Source organism: Homo sapiens, chromosome 3, assembly GCF_000001405.40.
Source record: "Homo sapiens chromosome 3, GRCh38.p14 Primary Assembly".
Classification (NCBI taxonomy): domain Eukaryota; kingdom Metazoa; phylum Chordata; class Mammalia; order Primates; family Hominidae; genus Homo; species Homo sapiens.
In genome coordinates, this window is record NC_000003.12 from 185,712,314 (window position 1) to 185,730,678 (window position 18,365).

The window sequence follows — 18,365 nt, forward strand, 5'->3', positions numbered from 1 at the left end:
TAGTGTCTATAAGCAAAGAAAAAGCCTTGATTTCCTAGGGAACAATGACGTAAGAAAAAATACAAATTTTAAATATATTCCCTAGATTTTCTAACACCATAATTCTCCCCACTCCTAATAAAACATTTTATTGTTACCAAAGGCTGCCATTATTCCAACACAATAGAGAAGCAGAGTGAGAGATATGCCAAGTGGGAACTGGAGATACGAATTTGAATCCCAGCTCTACCACGATGCTGAGTCAGTCATTCAACCTCTCTAATGCCTCAGCCATGAGACAGAGAAGATTCTTTCTAAATCTATGATTTACCTCATTTTGACAGCAAAACAGAACTGTTGCAAGGAGAAGGTAAGGAGCAGAAAGAAGAGGTATCCCACATGGACCTTAGGCTACAAATAGATGCTGAATTTTGGAAAAAAAAAAACAATAATCTCAACAAATCTTGAATTTTGTTTGGGTCACAATTTTTAACATCCCAATAAATAAGTTAGGTGACAAACTCCACTGTATTTTATAATTGGATGGCTTACAAATCAAAAAACAATGGGTTTGTGACTCTACTTGTGTCATGACCCTACAGCCTCCATTTACCCATTTCTTCCCTCTCCTAAAACAGGAAGCTTTACGCTTACACTTTCATTACTGCCAGGATACTCTTGTACAATATCTGGTGTCCAGATTTTGAAAGTATAAGGTTATTTCATGAAATTTACTATGAACAGAATAGAGGGTGTTGCATAGCCTGCCCTACAGATATGTATGTGTGTGTGTGTGTGTGTGTGTGTGTGCAAGAGACATATATGTGTGTGTGTGTGTCTTGGTGTAATACTGTGAATGAGAAGACCAGAACTGCACCCAAGGAACTGTACCACTGTCATAAACCACCAGGTCAAAGTTCACATTTTCACTGCATAGAAACAGAACTCTGGCCCATAACTCAGATGTTGGTTAATTAGTAATATAGGGATACTCCACTTGTTATTGCGACTTTGATCTAAACAGCTCTGTAAAGCCCATTTTCACATTTTTAAAATAATATGCTTTAGCAGCAGGTGAGGAAAACTTAAGGCATGGCACATTTATTGGAAAAGCAGCAGTGGGCGGCTTGGTTTAATGGCAACACCACTAGATAACTGTCTAAGGCCCTTTCCAGATCCAATGGTCAAGGTAACAGGTAAGTAAGATAGACTCCAAAGGCAGGGGTTTGAGGGGAGTGGGGAGTGCTGGTGAGACATCAGAATGAAAATTGTTTATTTCACATGGAGCTCTTTCTCGTTATTTTTAACATTGCGATTCTGTGGATCTCAGCAAATCTGAACAGCTATATCTACCACTCAACTGGTATATTTGAAATAAATTTATATTTTAGAAGTAAGTGCTACATACTCTTTTTCATTTTCTTTTGAGATGGACTCCTGCTCTGTTGCCCAGGCTGGAGTGCAGTGGCGCAATCTCAGCTCACTGAAACCTCCACCTCCTGGGTTCAAGTGATTCTCCTGCCTCAGCCTCCTGAGTAGCTGGGATTACAGGCACCCACCACCACACCCGGCTAATTTTTGTGTTTTTAGTAGAGATGGGGTTTCACCATGTTGGCCAGGCTGGTCTTGAACTCCTGACCTCAGGTGATCCGCCCATCTTGGCCTCCCAAAGTGCTGGGATTACAGGCGTGAGCCACCACGTCTAGCCCAAGTACTGTATATTCTTTGCACAAAATTCAAAATGTACCAAAGAATAGAATAGAAAAATTCTCTCTTCTACATCTATACTTCAGTCCTCCAGGTCCCATTACTCATTTTTTAAAAATCCTTCCCGTGTAGTCTATACATAAGCATATATGAATACATTCCTTTTTTTTTTTACCCAAACACAAACATTAATGCTCTGTATATGCATTTTTTCACTTAGTATAGGGTAGTATTATTCTTTTTGACAGCTGTATAATATTCAGTTTTATGAATGTACCATAATTAAACTGGTCTTCTACTGATGGACACAAGATGTTTCTAATCTTTTGCTGTTTCCAAAAAGTAAGTAAATGCTGCAATGAATATCTATTCATCTATCATCTAGCTATCCATCCATCCATCCATCTCACTTTGCACGTGTGAGCATATCTTGGAAGATAAACTCCTAGAAGTGAAATCCTAAAAGTGGAACAGTTATTGGGCTGTGCATTTGTAACATCAACACACAGTGCAATGCTGATTTCCCCATGTATCTGAAACATGGGAGCTGAAAACATGGAGCTATCAAACTTTTGATTTCTGCCCATCCATAGGTGAAAAATACTATCTTGTTTGCATTTTAATTACAAATGAGGGTGATCATTTTTCATATATTAAAGAACCTATGGTTAGGTGCAGTGGCTCACACCTCTAATCCCAGCACTTTGGGAGGCCAAGTCGAGAGGATTGCTTGAGCCCAGAAGTTTGAGCCCAGCCTAGGCAACGTAGCAAGACTCCATCCCTATCAAAAAGCAAAGCAACCAACCTATCCCATCCCATTCACTCTGGGAAACTTCACAGAATTCTTCCTTGCTTTTTCTCAGTATTCAGGCAGGTGACTATTGGCTTTCTTAATTTCATTTCACTTATTCCACAGACCCTTACCAAGCATTTACTATGTTAGATACCAGAAAGACAGCATGAACCACCTGCTCCCAACCAGGAGGCTAGTGGGCAGGGAGTGCACCTCACATGCCGCACTGCCAAGGGACAAGCCTGCACCATGATGGAGGGTGCCTGAGGGGCAAGACAGACAGGAGGGGAAACCTGGCAAGGAACCAGGGGGAGGCAACACCTTAGCAACGCTCTGAGGAATGGAAGGCAGAATACGCCAATGGGAAAAGTGAGAGCATAGAGGGGTCGGGAAAGATATTCTAAGGGAATGAGGCACACAAAGGCATGGCAGCCAGAACAGGAATTTGAGGAATCTCAAGTCCTCTGATTTGAGAGGAGCAGAGAATGCTTCCAAGGAAAGGCAAGAGAGCAGGCTGGACAGGCTGGCAAGAACCCATGGCAAAGACTTCCTATTTCCTGAGTTAAACCACGAGGGTGATAAACCTTTCACCAAGACTCAGACACGAATCATCACGCCCCACACAGAGTCAGTACACGCCAGGTAAACACCGGGAGGCAGGTAAGCACAGCCAGCAGCACTAACTTTCTTCTCAGAAGATATTTTCTTCTTATTGACTTTTCATCCTCAGAAAAGAGAACTCTACAGCTCTGAAATGTGCGGTGCAAGTGTAATTCGACCCTGTTCTGTGGCTGTCTATATCCCACCATCAGGACAGTCTTCTGATGATACGTCATTTCTTTTTTTCTTTCTTTCTTTCTTTTTTTTTGAGATGGAGTTTCATTCTTGTTGCCCAGGCTGGAGTGCAATGGCATGGTCTCGGCTCACTGCAACCTCCACCTTCCAGGTTCAAGAGATTCCCCTGCCTTAACCTCCCAAGTAGCTGGGATTACCAGCACCCGTCACCACACCCAGCTAATTTTTTTGTATTTTTAGTAGAGACGGGGTTTTGCCATGTTGGCCAGGCTGGTCTTGAACTCCTGACCTCAGGTGATCCACCTGCCTCAGCCTCCCAAAGTGCTGGGATTATAGCTGTGAGCCACCACGCCCAGCCTGATTCCTCACTTCTTTTTGACATGTGGCTGCCAGGTCCACTTAACCAACAAATTAAATGCCTCTTTATCTCAAAATAAAAGCATCTCCACAATTACTATTCTAATACTCTTCTGTTTTTAACAGGTATTTAGCACACTTCTTGAAAGCATAACAAATAGATCCATTAAATATATTAGGAATGTTTTAGGTTAGTAGAGGGTATGATTGAATAACATGATTAAAAAAAAAAACACCAGAACTTTTATTTTTTTAGTACACACGAATAAGGCCTCCATCAAAGTAATGCTCTTAGAAAAGTATTTACTTATTCCGACAATGATTCCTCTGCCCAGCATATTTTTGGAATTCTTTTAATGATATTTTCTGCAGCATTTATCCAATAAACACTGACGTAACTGATTTGCCTTTTGGTCTACAATACAATCTTATAAATATGCTCTGTGTTAAAACAGAATATCCCTCTTTTCTTTCCCCTCCCTCTTTCCATATTCAGCAGAAACAAAGAAAATCTCAGAGGTCTCTTCTTATGTCTCTGCTAACAATAAAAAGAACAGCTTTTGGGGAAGTGGGCTGCTTTATCCTGTAGCCCTCCTCAGATGCCAAGACTGCTGGGCTGGCCACCAGACTCACGTCCTCAGTAAGGAATTTACCTCCTACTTTTCTTCGGGGGCAGGTAGGGAAGCACAGCACCAGCCCTCAGCTGTCTTGGGCTCCCTGATCTGGTTAAGGAGAGTGTATTTACTCAGGGCCATGGTGGTGCATGGAGGAAGCCAACCCTGTCAGCGCTGGCTGGTCATCAGAATGGAAGTGGGAGGACATCCTTCATTTCCAGGTCATGCCTGGTTAACATTTCACCTTAACTGAGGGGCCAAAGAGAGGCTACGCAGCCTGGATCAGAGCTCCGACAGCCCTTACCTGGTGGCTTGTTCGTGGAATTTATCACATCCTGTTGTAACGCTCTGTTTACATCTCTGCTGCCCAGCCAGACTCCGCCTTCTGTGATTTTCTCATCCCACCACCCAGTACTGTACATGCTCAATGGATGACTATAAACAAGTGAACAGACAGCAGGAGTGGCTGCCCTTATGCCCATGGAACTGGGCCTCTCAATTCAGCTCATGTTGGTCATTTCAGATCATCTGAATGTAAAGGGTCCTCTCTGTCTCTGACCAGGCTTCTTGCAGGCCTTTGGCAGCCGTGGAGCTCTGAGAGAGACTGGTTTCCTGAGGGCTGGGCACCCCGGTCTATTTATTGGGAGGCCACAAACAGAAAGAGTGGGCATCAGGACCAACGGGCACATGGCCACCACCCAGATACGTGACTCTGGCATGTATTTCACTTCTCTGGGGCCAGATGGCCTCTTCCTAAGATTCTCCTCAGTGCTGAGAGTTCTTCAGTCCTGCCTGCTGACTTCCCTCCAGGACAGAACAGATGCCTCTTCCTCCCATAGATATGATGCAAGAACTGAGCTGTCCAAGCAAAAAAAAACCTTTGAAGGAAGAATTTCTGTGCTGTGAGTGGTTTACTCTGAGAATAGGACTCAAGTTTTAGAAATCTTTGTTCAATGTCAGAGATAGAGCGACTGTAATCTGTGAGCCAAGAAAAAAGGTTTGTAAAGGCTAGAAGAAAAGAAGCCCATGGCTAAGAACTTGTAAAAACATCTACAGCAAACAAGAGTTCCAAGAGAAAGACTGTGAAACAGCAGGCCCACAGGAGCTGGAGAGCGAGCTTTGAAACGATACAAAATTAATTGTCTAAGGGGCAAATAAATGGTGCAGTACACAAATGCAGGAGGTGACACAAACGCACCTGGATTCAACAGAGGACAAGTAGACACATCTATGTCCCAGGCTGCACTAATGAGGAAAGTCCACCAGGTGGGAAGTAGGTACCACTGAGAGTTTATAAGGCTAAAAACCCCAGTCTTGGGATGCGGAGAAGGAGGGAAGGAAGTGAGAATGAACAGGAATGGCATATTCTGTTCACTTCACTGACAGCTTTGCACTGTGCATTCCCAGCTGGGCATGTCCCAGACATGATCTCTTGCATGGGCTGTACTAACGAACATCAAATATTCAGGCTGGCAACCAGTTACATGAACCGGTGTCAGGAGTGCACATTAATAGGCATCTGACTAGGGCAGGGCTGGGCAAACTACGGCCCCTGCGCTACATCCAGCCTAAAGCCTGTTTCTGTAAATAAAGTTTTATCAAAACACCCAATTTGTTTCCCTATTGTACACAGCTTTTTTCATGCTGCATTGGCAGCGCTGGGTAGTTGTGACACAAACCATATGGGCCACAGGGCCTAATATATCTGTAATCTGGCCCTGTACAGAAAAAATGTGCTGAACCTTGGACTAGTGGGGCAGATAGTGAAGCTGAGAAGATTAAGACCAAGGGAGTAGTGGGATGTGGTTCCAGGGCTAAAGCAGTAACTCTATCAGAAAGCAAGTCAGGCTCGGGGGCGGTGGCTCGCGCCTGTAATTCCAGCACTTTGGGAGGCCGAGGCGGGCAGATCACGAGGTCAGGAGATTGAGACCATCGTGGCTAACATAGTGAAATCCTCTCTACTAAAAATACAAAAAATTAGCCAGGCGTGGTGGCACGTGCCTATGGTCTCAGCTACTCAGGAGGCTGAGGCAGGAGAATCGCTTGAACCCAGGAGGTGGAGGTTGTGGTGAGCTGAGATCACACCACCGCACTCCAGCCTGGACAACAGAGCGAGACTCTGTCTCAAAAAAAAAAAAAAAAAAAAAAAAGAAAGTCAGAAACTCCCTCCTGGAACTGGCAGATGGGTAGGGTTAAATCTGAGTGGAAAATGGAAGCAGGGAAGAGCAAAGCCACGATCAAAACCTGAGAAACTGAGAGGATGAACACAGCGCAGAAGTGACACCAAGGTAAGATCCTGTATCTTTTGGAGTCAAGAACCACCATTTTGATGGGCTATTCTGGGCTTCCCAGACCTTCCCAAGAAGCTGCTCCTTACAGCTTACAGGACCACATTCTTGGGAAGCCACAGACCCAAATCATGCCTTGCCAGGTGTTATTCAGTGTGGACCGCGGTAGGACTATGATGGTCAGAGATGACCTTGGGTGGGGAGAGGAAGCAGACAGAGGAAGAAACAGACTGTGTTTGGACAAGAGAAAATAGGGTACATCTAATGGAGAGACAGATGAATACTAAGTGGGGATAACTGCAGAGGCCTTATTTAATAAGGTGAAGAGTTTGCACTGATACAGTAGGCTATGGGAGATCACTGCAGGGATTTGCACAGGGCAGTCATTTGTGATTCCAGTTATTTGTGAGATAAGGATAGTGGGGCATGACAAAGCTCTACAAAACTGTAAGACACTGCATATCTTTGATGAACAGTAGTATGAAAGACAAAACAGATTGGATTTGCTAGAATAAAGGTGCTAACAAGATGGCTGTCACTAGCAATCTGCTGCAGCAACAGGCTCAAACACCCCTACGCAGAGCTCTTCCTTCATGTGCTTCATCTTATTTGCATGAACATTCCTAGGAGTTAAGCAGAAAAAAGGCAGGGATGAGCTTGGAAAATGACCAGGAGTGTTGACTGGGGAGTGAATATTGGAGTACAGGCTGGGTGTGGTGGCTCACGCCCGTAATCCCAGCACTTTGGGAGGCCGAGGCAGGTGGATCACCTGAGGTCAGGAGTTCCAGACCAGCCTGGCCAACGTGGCGAAACCCTGTCTCTACTAAAAGTACAAAAATTAGCTGGACGTGGTGGTGCACACCTGTAATCTCAGCTTCTTGGAAGGCTGAGGCAAGAGAATCACTTGAACCTGGGAGGTGGAGGTTGCAGTGAGCCGAGATCACGCCACTGCACTCCAGCCTGGGTGACAGAGCGAGACTCTGTCTCAAAAAAGAAAGGAAGGAAGGAAAGGAAGGAAAGGAAGGAAGGAAGAAAAGTTGGAGTATAAAGAAGTGAGCCTTGATAGAAACAAACTCAAATGAGAAAAGCAAGCCACACTGAATCCAAGGGCCATGAATAAATACAAACTCAAACTCTGGTGTGGAAACAGCTGCAGATGTACAATTGTGACTGTCCCTTCTAAAGTGAAATCCCCCGGAAAGTGGGAAAATATTCTCCCCCAGGCAACCTTCCATCAACAAGGAGCTTGTGGGCACTGAGCGTAAAGCAGTGCATTGAACCTGTGCCCTGCCTTCCAGGAGTCTTCAGTCTCTGGCCGTGGTCTATAAGAAAGGGCTACCAGCTAAGTGAGAGCACTAGAATAACAGATATATCCAGTGCTATGCTGGTAAATATTTAAAAAACGGCTCTTGCAGGGGGAGATAAAGCAATCTGTAGTTTTTGCCAATTTCTGTGGTGTAAATACTCTCACCAAAGCCTATTTATTTTATTTAATTAATTAATTAATTTATTTTTTAGATGGAGTGTTGCTCTTGCTGCCCAGGCTGGAGTGTAATGGTGCGATCTCGACTCACCACAACTGCGCCCGGCCCCTTTGGGAGCCACCGCGCCCGGCCCCCAAAGCCTATTTAAAGCTACTAACATGATATCACCAAAACGGAAATTGGAAAGGATGCACACAATTGGCTCTGGTGAGCCAGGGGAGCCCTCTAGCACAGCACTGGAAATGAAGCTTGTTGCTTGTAGCAGCTCTTAACTGGATGTTGGTCTGTTGTGATATCTAAGGACACTGACAGGCCACTACGAAGGCATGCTGCTGAACCCACTCCACTCACCCAGTTATTCAGAGGCAGATCTTACAGCTGACATTCTTCAAAGAAGAACCTCAGCTTCAGGCTTTGGAAGAAACTCATTTTGCAGATTAGGAAACTGAGGTCCAGAGCTGTTCTCCTTGAGCTGCATGTGAGGGCTGGTGTCATTATGCTTTACATAATCAGTAAGAAATTCTGAAACCAGACAGTAACTGCTGTGTGAGAAGGTAGTCGAAAACAGTCAACTCCATTACAGTGCAGCAGACACAGGGAAACGTCCTTCAAGGGTAATGTGGTCAAAGGAAAGACAGAAAAGACATCTGGATGCCTACAAGTTGTGTGTGCACACGCTTGCACACATGTGAGTGGGCAGATGTCAGGAAGCACTCATAAATGCCACCTCCTGTGTACTGTCAATAGAGTAAGAAGCCCCAGGCGTCTTAATTAAAGGAACAAAAAATTAGTGTGTGGATTTTAACCAATTAATGAATGACACACATGAAGGAGAGGCTCATACTCTTCTTCTTCTTTTTTTGTTTTTGTTTATTATTATTATTATTTGTTTTTTGTGAGATGGTGTCTCGATCTGTCACCCAGGCTGGAGTGCAGTGGTGCAATCTCAGCTCACTGCAACCTCTGCCTCAAACAATTCTCGTGCCTCAGCCTCCCGAGTAGCTGAGATTACAGGTACCCACCACAATGCCCAGCTAATTTTTGTATTTCTAGTAGAGACGGGGTTTTACCATGTTGGCCAGGCTGCTCTCGAACTCCTGACCTCAAGTGATCCGCCCGCCTCGGCCTCCCAAAGTGCTGGGATTACAGGCATAGCCACTGCACCAGGCCCACTCTTCTTTCAAGCAGTTTTTTTTCTTTTCTCTTTTTAATGGTTAAAACTTTTAATTTTGCTACCTCCTCATCTCAGCAAGTGAATTATGTATTTAATTGGAAATCAAGTCTTTGTCTAAAAACTGTACTTTCATGCTGGTTTCCTCCAGACTAATAAAACACTGTTTATCAGTCTAAGCCTCAAGTAGGTCTCTCATGTACCTGTCTTCCTCTTCTCTGTCTACCACCTCCCTCACTCTCATCTGAAAAGTCATGAACCAGCCCACCTAGTGAGTTCCTTTGACATCAGGGCTAACACGGCCTGGGTAAACTTCAGCAATGTTGGCTTTCTTCCTGGCTTTTTCTGCTTGAAAAGAAGTCTCTTTCAGCAAGTCAGGGCAGTGTTTTCTGTTTATGAGGTGCTTTTCTTCTGGGTGGCAGATATGTCTTCTATTTACCAACCATTCACTTATCACTAACCAGCATCCTTGGCAGTTCTTAGAAACTTTCAGGTGGCAAGTACTTGTTTTTTTTTTTAATTTTATTGATATAAGATCACGGGATCTTCCTGCCTTAGTCGCCTAAGTAGCATGCACCAACCACATCTGATTTTTTTTTTCTTTTTTTTTTTTGTAGAGAGAGTGTCTCACTATGTTGCCCAGGCTGGTCTCAAATTCCTGGCCTCAAGCAATCTTCCCACTTCAGCCTCCCAAAGTGCTGGGACTACAGGCACATGCCACCATGCCCAGCCGCAAGTGTTTATCCCCATTCCATAGGGGGTGAAACTGAGGCACAAAAAGAGGAAATCACCATCAGGATATGCCACTGCAGAGAGATATAAGATGAGAGTAATTCAGCTTCATGGGTTATTTTCAAAAAGTAAGGAAGAAACTGCAACAAGAACTGAATCACGCTTTACTACAGCATTGCCTTCTACTTCCTCCACCAGCCAACTGGGAGATGAACTTTTATGAGGAGCAGTATTGATGGATTTAAGTTTTCAATTTTATGTCATTTTGTGCTTTCTGGAGGCGGTACAGTGAGCTTGGAAGTAAGTGATATGGTGGGAAGGTGGGAAGGTGGAAACAGGGAAGGTAAAATGAGAGGCTTGTAGGATCCAGACCTGGGATAATCAAACTAAGAAAAATCAATCTGGTGGAGGTTACACAGAGACTCTGGGAAATGACACCTCAGCTGCTCACAGCTCACTGGAAAACTGTAGGAACAGCCCTTTCTACGTCAGGGCTGGCGGGTAGAGAACTCTGGCCTGATGCTATGTTTTTATATAGTTTTATAATTATATAAACAAATACACAAACACACATATACATATACACAGTACACATATATATGTGCTATAAACATATAAATGCACAAATGATACATAATTATGTAATTATAATTGAGTTACAAGAACCCACTATGATAGAGTGTTTTCAAAATCAGCCTTCATTTTAATATAGAGAAAACTCTTGGCCATAAAAACATGCTTTGTTTTGTTCCCAAAGGGGTATGTCATTTTGTTCTGCCTTTGCTAAATAAGAGTTGAAAACTGTTGAAACGTTTCTCGTTGGCTAAGCTGGAGAGAACCAATACAAATCAACAGAGACTTTTACGTCTTCAGAATTGAGATCTGCTGAGGTTTATGTGGGAAGTGGGAAAGGTTTGTGAACATGTTTATGATTCCATCAAATCCAGTCGGCCACAGCTCCACATTAGGGGCACAATCAAAATTACGCAAACAGCTAAGTTTCTATCCCTTGGAAATCATGATATTGATTTCTATCCCTTGGAAATGATCATATTTCCAATACTTAGAACTCACTGCTTGGGTCCACAGCAGCCTACAGTCAAAAGCTTATCAGATAAAGTCATTTTCACAGGGTATTAGGGCTGGGAAGATGGTTAGGCCAATCCCTTCACTTCATAAACAAGGATGCTGCATCCCAGAGAAGTGATTTGTTCAAAGGCAAACAACAGTATTTAGGATGAGAAGCCACATCTTCTGAGTCTCCAGATCCCTGAACCTTCTTCCCACCCCAGTGTCTCTGTTGGTGGCATCCACCCCAGTCAATCCATTAACAGACAGGAACTAGCACAGGTGTTCCAGCACTGGGCCAAGCCCCTCAGGAGGACCGAGTGTTTTTGATGTCTAGCTCTGAACAGGCGCTGAGAGCTCCAAACTTGTGTATGACACACAGTTTCTTCCTTACTGGAGCTCCCAGGCTAGTGAGGGTCCCATGGAACTAAACAACAGGTGAGTATGGAATGGGGTGAAATCATTCCAGAAGAACAGACAGCATACGATGGGAGCTCAGAGGAAAGGCTATACCTAGCCTTGAGGGAGGGTGTAGGAACCAGAAGGAAAAGTAGGCATCATCCAAGTAAAGAAGAGGACAAAAGACAGTGATCCTGCAGAGAAAACACCATCGAGCAAAGTTGGGAGGCAACCGAAGCGGGTAAGCAGGTTCGGTCTGGGCAATCCCAGGGAAGCCGAAGGAGACAAATCCAGCGCCAGACTATGCAGAGACAAATTTCGGTAACTCTACGTGGGGCTGCAATGAGCATGCGGTCACAGCAAACACATGCTTGGGCCAAAAAGTCCTAAGTGGCACCAGGACCCAGGCAGGAATGAACAGATAAGGAGAGAACCAGAAGAAGAGAGCCTTCCAGACAGCACGTGAGCAAAATTGCCCGGCTAAGATCTGAAGAGGCAGACACAGTCACTGAGATCATTCCCTGGGCTCTTCTTGTCCACTGGAGCGACATGTGGTCTGAAGACTAAGGTAGCTTGATCTATCAATCAGCCAACAACAGTCTTGTTTCTGTTGAGTTGTAAGCTTTCTAGGACTGCAACTAGACAAGTGGGGAGGTCAGAGTCTAAATTACAACTAATTCCTAATAGGTTTTATAACTGCTATCCCTTTTTTCCCTCTCTCCCTGCACCTAGGTTTTTGCCCTGGTAGAGGTGGAGACGATATAGCCCAGAAGTTCAGACTGGAGTCAAAGGTTCCGAGTTCAAAGCCCACCCAGCTACTTATTAACTGAATGACCCTTAGCGAAGTTGCTTTAACTTTCCTGATTCAGCTCCTTCATCTAAACTCTCAGAATTGTTAGATCAGGTAAGAATGCAGAAGTTGCTTTCAACATGGCACCTGGCACTAGGAAGGGTTCTGTGAGTGACAGTGTTCTAGTGTTCTAATTAAAAGGCAAGGTAGGCCAGATTTTAAAGGAATCCCCATATCACAGTCTGGACTTTGTTTGGTGCATTGTATTTCCCAAAAAGGAATGCATCAGAATCTTGCCTATATGCTTTCCTTATGGTGTGACTTTGACACTCCTCCCATTGAAAGACGGAATTCTGTATTTCCTCCCCCTTGATAGTCATGCTTCTGAACATGGTGACAGTGATAGTTTGTGACTGCTGAAACCAGATCATAGCATGCCTTTCTTAGGAATGCTTGCTCTTGGAAGCCAGCCACCATGCTGTGAGGAAGAGCAAGCAACACATGGAGAGGCCACTGTTCCAGCCAACAGCCCCAGCTGAGGTCCCAGCTGACAGGCCGCATCAAATCGCCAAGGATGTGAACAAGTAAGCCTTTAGATGTCAATTCACCCCAGCTTTTGAATATTCCCAGCAGAGGCCTCAGACATAACAGGGCCAAGACAAACCATCCCACTGTACCCTTTCCAAATTCCTGACCCACAGAATCTGTGAGTCTGATAATATGGTGGTTATTTTATGCCACTTTGTTTGGGTTTGTTACATAGCAACAGATAATCAATATAATTGTTTTAAGGCAACAGATGGCCATGGAAAGGTTTGAAAGTGGTGAAAAAGCAAGATGTACGCTTCCAGAAGGCTAACCTGATTGCAGTGGGCTGAGGTTGTCGGCAGGGGACTCAGTAGGAGAGCACTGATACTATGTGATGCAAACCTGAATATTAGGGCAGGTGGAGGGTGTTAAAGGTCACAAATTAGATGTGGGGGGTCGACAAAAAGAAAGAACTTCAAATGACACCAAGGTTTGAACTACTAGCGGAACTTGACATAATTAGGTTCATCCAGAAGGGACTAATATTGTTTTTTTCTGGTGGATAGTCGGGGTAGAGGAGAGGAGGTAAATTCCATTCTAAATACATGGAATTTGCATGATGTCAGTATAATCTAAGAAGTATCAAATGAGAAGTTACAAATTCAGGACTAGGCTGGCTGTGGTGACTCACATCCGTAATCCCAACACTTTGGGAGGCCAAAGCAGGAGGACTGCTTGAGGCCAGGAGTTCTAGACCAGCCTTGGCAACATATTGAGACCCCAATCTCTATAAAAATTTTTTTAAAAAATTAGTCGGGCATGTGTGCTTGTAGTCCCAGTTACTTGGGAGGCTGAGGATCACCTGAGCCCAGGAAGTTGAAGCTACAGTAAGCCATGAACATGCCACTGCACTACAGCCTGCACATCAGGGTGAAACTGTCAAAAAATAAATTAATAAATTAATTACTTAATCCAGGACTAGAAGCTGAACACTGGTGTTGGTTAAAACCTTGAAAATGGATGAGATCACCTCTCAGATCATGCCTGTATTTAGGAGAACAGGTGAGCGGGACCAGGGTTAGCCAGTCACAGATGCAGAATTCTGAGAGTATAATTTCACGAACAAGTTTTGGAAAGGTGCGATCATCATTAGTGCCAAATGCTACAGAGAGGTGAAAGAGAAGAAAGATTGAGAAAAGGGACTGGAACCCAACAGGTAATAAGGAATGGACCCAGGGTCAGAGGAGGAATGGACCCACGGTCAGAGGAGGGCCTCTCCATCCCTGACCAAAAATGAAACAAGACACACAAACTGGGGAATGAATGAAATTACAAACCCTGCTGGGTACACATCAGAATGTTTTCAGTCTCCATTCAGATGGAAATTTCCTGTGGGTCTGGAAGCGGGAAGCAGTAGGAACTGCTAAAATGAGATGGTGAAATGCACATTCCTAAAGGTATAAAGTGGGCACAGGAACACCTGCCACTTATCTACCTCACAAAGATAAAACACAAATTAGATTCCTATAAAGTGCTTTGAGTTCTCTGCCATTGTAATAGACCCAATACCTATCTTTCAGCCTTCAGAGAACAGTTCTTAACATTTGCTGAACTCTCCAGCATTCCTGGGAGGTAGATATTATCGTTGGATGAGGAAACAAAGGCCACACAGCAAGTCAAAAGCCAAGGCAAGATTAGAACAGGGCCTGCCTTCTGTGTGGGGAAGTCCAGTTGGCTAGATTCCTTTTGTGTCAGTAACAGGTTCTTTGATCTGTAATACAGAAGAGGCTTGTTTCTGGGGAGGCTGTGAAAATAGATACATTAATGACCACAAGGTTCTCTGAAACTTACCAAGGGGGTTGTGGGAAAAAAAGGTGCAGCCAGCCAGATTCTGGAAACAACAGAAGAAATTACAGGAGGCCGAGCACGGTGGCTCACGCCTGTAATCCCAGCACTTTGGGAGGCCAAGGCGGGTGGATCACCGGAGGTCAGGAGTTTGAAACCAGCCTGGCCAACATCGTGAAACCCCATCTCTACTAAAAATACAAAACTAGCTGGGTGTGGTGGCAGGCACCTGTAATCCCAGCTACTCAGGAGGCTGAGGCAGGAGAATCGCTTGAACCTGGGAGGCAGAGGTTGCAGTGAGCTGAGATCATGCCACTGAACTCCAGCCTGGGCGACAGAGAGAGACTCCGTCTCAAAAAAAAAAAAAAAAAGTAAAAGAAAAAGAAAAAGAAATCACAGGAGCAATGGAGATCGTTAAGAACAGCAAGGGAGACGCAGAGCCCTCCGGAAGGTTAGTCTGGGCAGATCCAGAGGCTGTGGGGAGGGGCCTCACAGAGCGGGCTATGCACCAGCCTTAGCCTCCTCACTTGGGGCAGACACAGCATGAACATGGCTGGCTTGGACTGAGGCTCTTGGCCTCAAAGACAGAACAGTAATTGGATTACTCACAGGTTGAACAGGTGAACAAAAAGGTAGTGCTGTGGATGAGAACACCTCAGGGGGCCCCAGAAACAGTGAAGAGGAAGAGTAATGGTTTTGTGAAAAAGACTTTACTTGAAATCCCTGGAGAAGCAGTAGCATCATAATCCTTCCTCTTCCTATATTTACTTTTTTCCTAAAAATTCAATTTCTTAATAAAACTAAAAATGCAATCATGACACTGTTTGAATATTATAAATTAGATGGAGTGGAGGATAAACAAAGTTGGCACAGGGAAGGCAAGAGGCATTTACTGAATGTCTATCATATGCCCTCTCAATATTTAGAATCCCCTCATGAGATACTGGCAGCCCATTTTACACAGACTAAACAGAGACTTAGAAAGGATAAATCTTTTACCCAAGGCCATGCAGCTAGTCTATGATGGAGCCAGGATTCCAGCCCTGACATGCCTCATTCCAGAGCTCTTGTTCTTTTCTGTATACTGCACTACCTACATCTCAACAGTCGTGAGTTCAACATTAATCAGGTCTGAACTAATGAGATTTACTATAATGCCCCGGAGATGACTGTACCCTACAGCTGGAGAATGCATAGGGAGGGGCACTTCCGTTACGTATACCTGAACTATGTTTGCGATTCACACAAAATAAAGAATTGACCAGGACCAACCCCAGCCTATGAGAGGCAAAGTTACTGCTGCCCGCTTTACCCCACCCTAGAGCGCCCTCTGATCCACACTCTCACACTGCCTTCCAGCTTTCCCACGGCGCCAGACCCTTGCTGCTCCTGGGCCCCTTCCCCTTGCTCCCTTCATCAGGCGCTCTCCGCTCCTCCAGCCCATCAGCGCCTTGACTCGGGTGGCAAGAGTTGGTAGGTTAACCAGATTCACCAATCCCTGTTAAGTCGCTCACTCACATGTTACCCTTCTAGGATATGGGCTTTTTGTGTTTTTGTTTTTTAACTCAGTTAACATGTACTTTACCACCATAAAGGTAAAATGACAATGGTGGACGTCTCATTCATCCTGGAAGACTGACAGAGGAGACAGCTTCAAGGCAAGCAGGGCTTTGGCCATTTCCCCAGCCCATCAACCAGCCAATCACAAAATCAAAAAACTAGGTGAGTCTTATAATTTTCAAAATACTAATTAATATTTATGGTTTAACTATTGAACAGATTTGCTTAGTGAGGTAGGTACTATTATGACATCCATTTTACAGAGAGTACACAGTCACGAAAAGGTCCAATAACCTCCCAAAGGCTCACAGCTCATAAGCAGCAGGAGCAGGATTCAAACGCAGGCAATCAAAACCCCGAGTCATGCTCTTAACCACTACGCCACGAGTTCTCAAAGCGTGACCTGCACACCCTTGGAATCCTCAAGACCCTTTCAGGGGTTATTAGGTAAAACCCATTTTCCTAATCATACCAAGATGTTATTTGCCTTGTTTATCGTGTTAGTATTTTCACTCATGGTGCAAAAGCAATGGCGGGTAAAACTGCCAGTGCCTGAGGCTGCATGAAGGCAGTGGCTCCACACTGCACCAAGTCGTACGCTCACTGTTGTGTACTCTTAGTGGAGGAGGGAAAGCCAGCTTCACTTAAAACTGTCCTTGACAAAGCAGTAAAGATTACTGCTTTTTTTTTTTCCACAAAAATTTTGACCCTGGAATGCAGATCTTTTAAAATATTTGGTGTGACAAAATGGAAAGTATGCAGAAAACACTATTGCTGCATCCTGAAGTAAGATGTCTCAGGAAAGGCAACTGTGTGATCATTTGAATTGGGAGCTGAAATGGCCACTTTCTTCCTGGGTATGTCATTTGTACTTGACAGAACAGACAGACAGTGATGACCATTCAGATCTGGGTAGCTCTCACACATTTTTCTTGAAATGAATAAAGTCCGCCTGTCACTGCAAATAAAACAACTCACAGTATTTGTTGCCAATGATAAAATTTGACCTCTTAAGAACTAGAATTTTGGAATACTTTTATTTACTATTATGAGCTTGCAGCTTCCCAATACTCGTCATGATAGTGATGAATGTAATTTTTTGGTATTGTATGGTGCAACATCAACATCCGGAAGATCTGAATAACCCAGTGACTCAATATTTTCCAAATGACTAATGTATAATGCTACAAAACCCTGCATTAGTAAAAAATTTTAATGTAACAGAATATTAACGTTCATATGCTTTCAGATACTACATGGCAACTAACCTTTAAGAAACTACTGCTTGTCAAATTTTGTTGTAGTATCAAAGAAGAATATCCATAATTATCTGAAAAGGCTATTAAAATACTCTTTGCCAATTACATATCTGGATGAACCCAGATTTCCTTCATATTTTTCAACCAAAATAATGTATTGCATCAGATTGAGTGCAGAGGCAGACATGCGAATATATGTATCTTCTCTTAAGCAAGGCATCAGAGAGATTTGTAAAAACAAAAAGGTAAAACAATGTATCCATTCTCGCTAAGATTTTTAGACTTTAGAAAAAATATTGTTTTGGTTTTCATGTCTCCAGGGGTATGTGTGCAGGTTTGTTACGTGGATATACTGCATAATGAAGTTTGGGTTTCTACTGAACCCATCACTCAAATAGTGAACACTGTACACAATAGTTAATTTTTAGCCCTCACCCCACTCCCACCCTTTCCCCTTTGTGTTCCCAGTGTCTGCTATTTTCATCTTTATGTCTATGTGTAGCCACTGCTTAGCTCCCACTATGAGTGAGAACATGCAGTATTTGAGTTATTTCACATAAGATAATGTGAAATACAAATGGTGCTGCAAGAGAAATAATTTCATTCCTTTGTATGGCTGCATAGTATTCCGTGGTATATTTATACCACCTTTTCTTTATCCAATCATCAGTTGATGGGCACCCAGGTTGATTCCACGACTTTGCTATGGTGAACGGTACGATGATAAACATACAAGCGCAGGTGTCTTTTTTTTTTTTTTTTTTTTTTTGAGACGGAGTTTGACTCTTGTTTCCCAGGCTGGAGTGCAATGGCACAGTCTCGGCTCACCACAACCTCCACCTCCAGGGTTCAAACAGTTCTCATACCTCAGCCTCCTGAGTAGCTGGGATTACAAGCATGCGCCACCACGCCCGGCTAATTTTGTATTTTTAGTAGAGACCGGGTTTCTCCATGTTGGTCAGGCTCGTCTCGAGCTCCCGACCTCAGGTGATCTGC

General features: G+C 44.0%; 1 protein-coding gene and 1 long non-coding RNA gene across 32 annotated transcripts in view, besides 3 other annotated features; one reads left to right on the top strand and one right to left on the bottom strand.

The window, feature by feature from the left end:
- IGF2BP2 (insulin like growth factor 2 mRNA binding protein 2) overlaps nt 1-18,365 on the bottom strand; it is a 181,913-nt gene that overhangs the window by 69,184 nt on the left and 94,364 nt on the right. The window lies entirely within an intron of this gene.
- IGF2BP2-AS1 (IGF2BP2 antisense RNA 1) lies at nt 939-17,474 on the top strand. The gene is made up of 8 exons (NR_126326.1): nt 939-1,175; nt 4,128-4,271; nt 9,806-10,220; nt 12,120-12,291; nt 12,625-12,761; nt 16,146-16,272; nt 16,374-16,557; nt 17,360-17,474. It is a non-coding gene; the product is annotated as an IGF2BP2 antisense RNA 1 (long non-coding RNA).
- Nucleotides 12,601-13,101: an enhancer, noted in NCBI's record as "H3K4me1 hESC enhancer chr3:185442702-185443202 (GRCh37/hg19 assembly coordinates)". NCBI's record gives its function as "activates a minimal SCP1, AML or CMV promoter by ChIP-STARR-seq in primed H9 embryonic stem cells {active_cell/tissue: H9 hESC(primed)}" and the evidence as "EXISTENCE:reporter gene assay evidence [ECO:0000049][PMID:30033119]".
- Nucleotides 15,438-16,289: an enhancer, noted in NCBI's record as "H3K27ac-H3K4me1 hESC enhancer chr3:185445539-185446390 (GRCh37/hg19 assembly coordinates)". NCBI's record gives its function as "activates a minimal SCP1, AML or CMV promoter by ChIP-STARR-seq in naive and primed H9 embryonic stem cells {active_cell/tissue: H9 hESC(naive and primed)}" and the evidence as "EXISTENCE:reporter gene assay evidence [ECO:0000049][PMID:30033119]".
- Nucleotides 16,290-17,141: an enhancer, noted in NCBI's record as "H3K27ac-H3K4me1 hESC enhancer chr3:185446391-185447242 (GRCh37/hg19 assembly coordinates)". NCBI's record gives its function as "activates a minimal SCP1, AML or CMV promoter by ChIP-STARR-seq in primed H9 embryonic stem cells {active_cell/tissue: H9 hESC(primed)}" and the evidence as "EXISTENCE:reporter gene assay evidence [ECO:0000049][PMID:30033119]".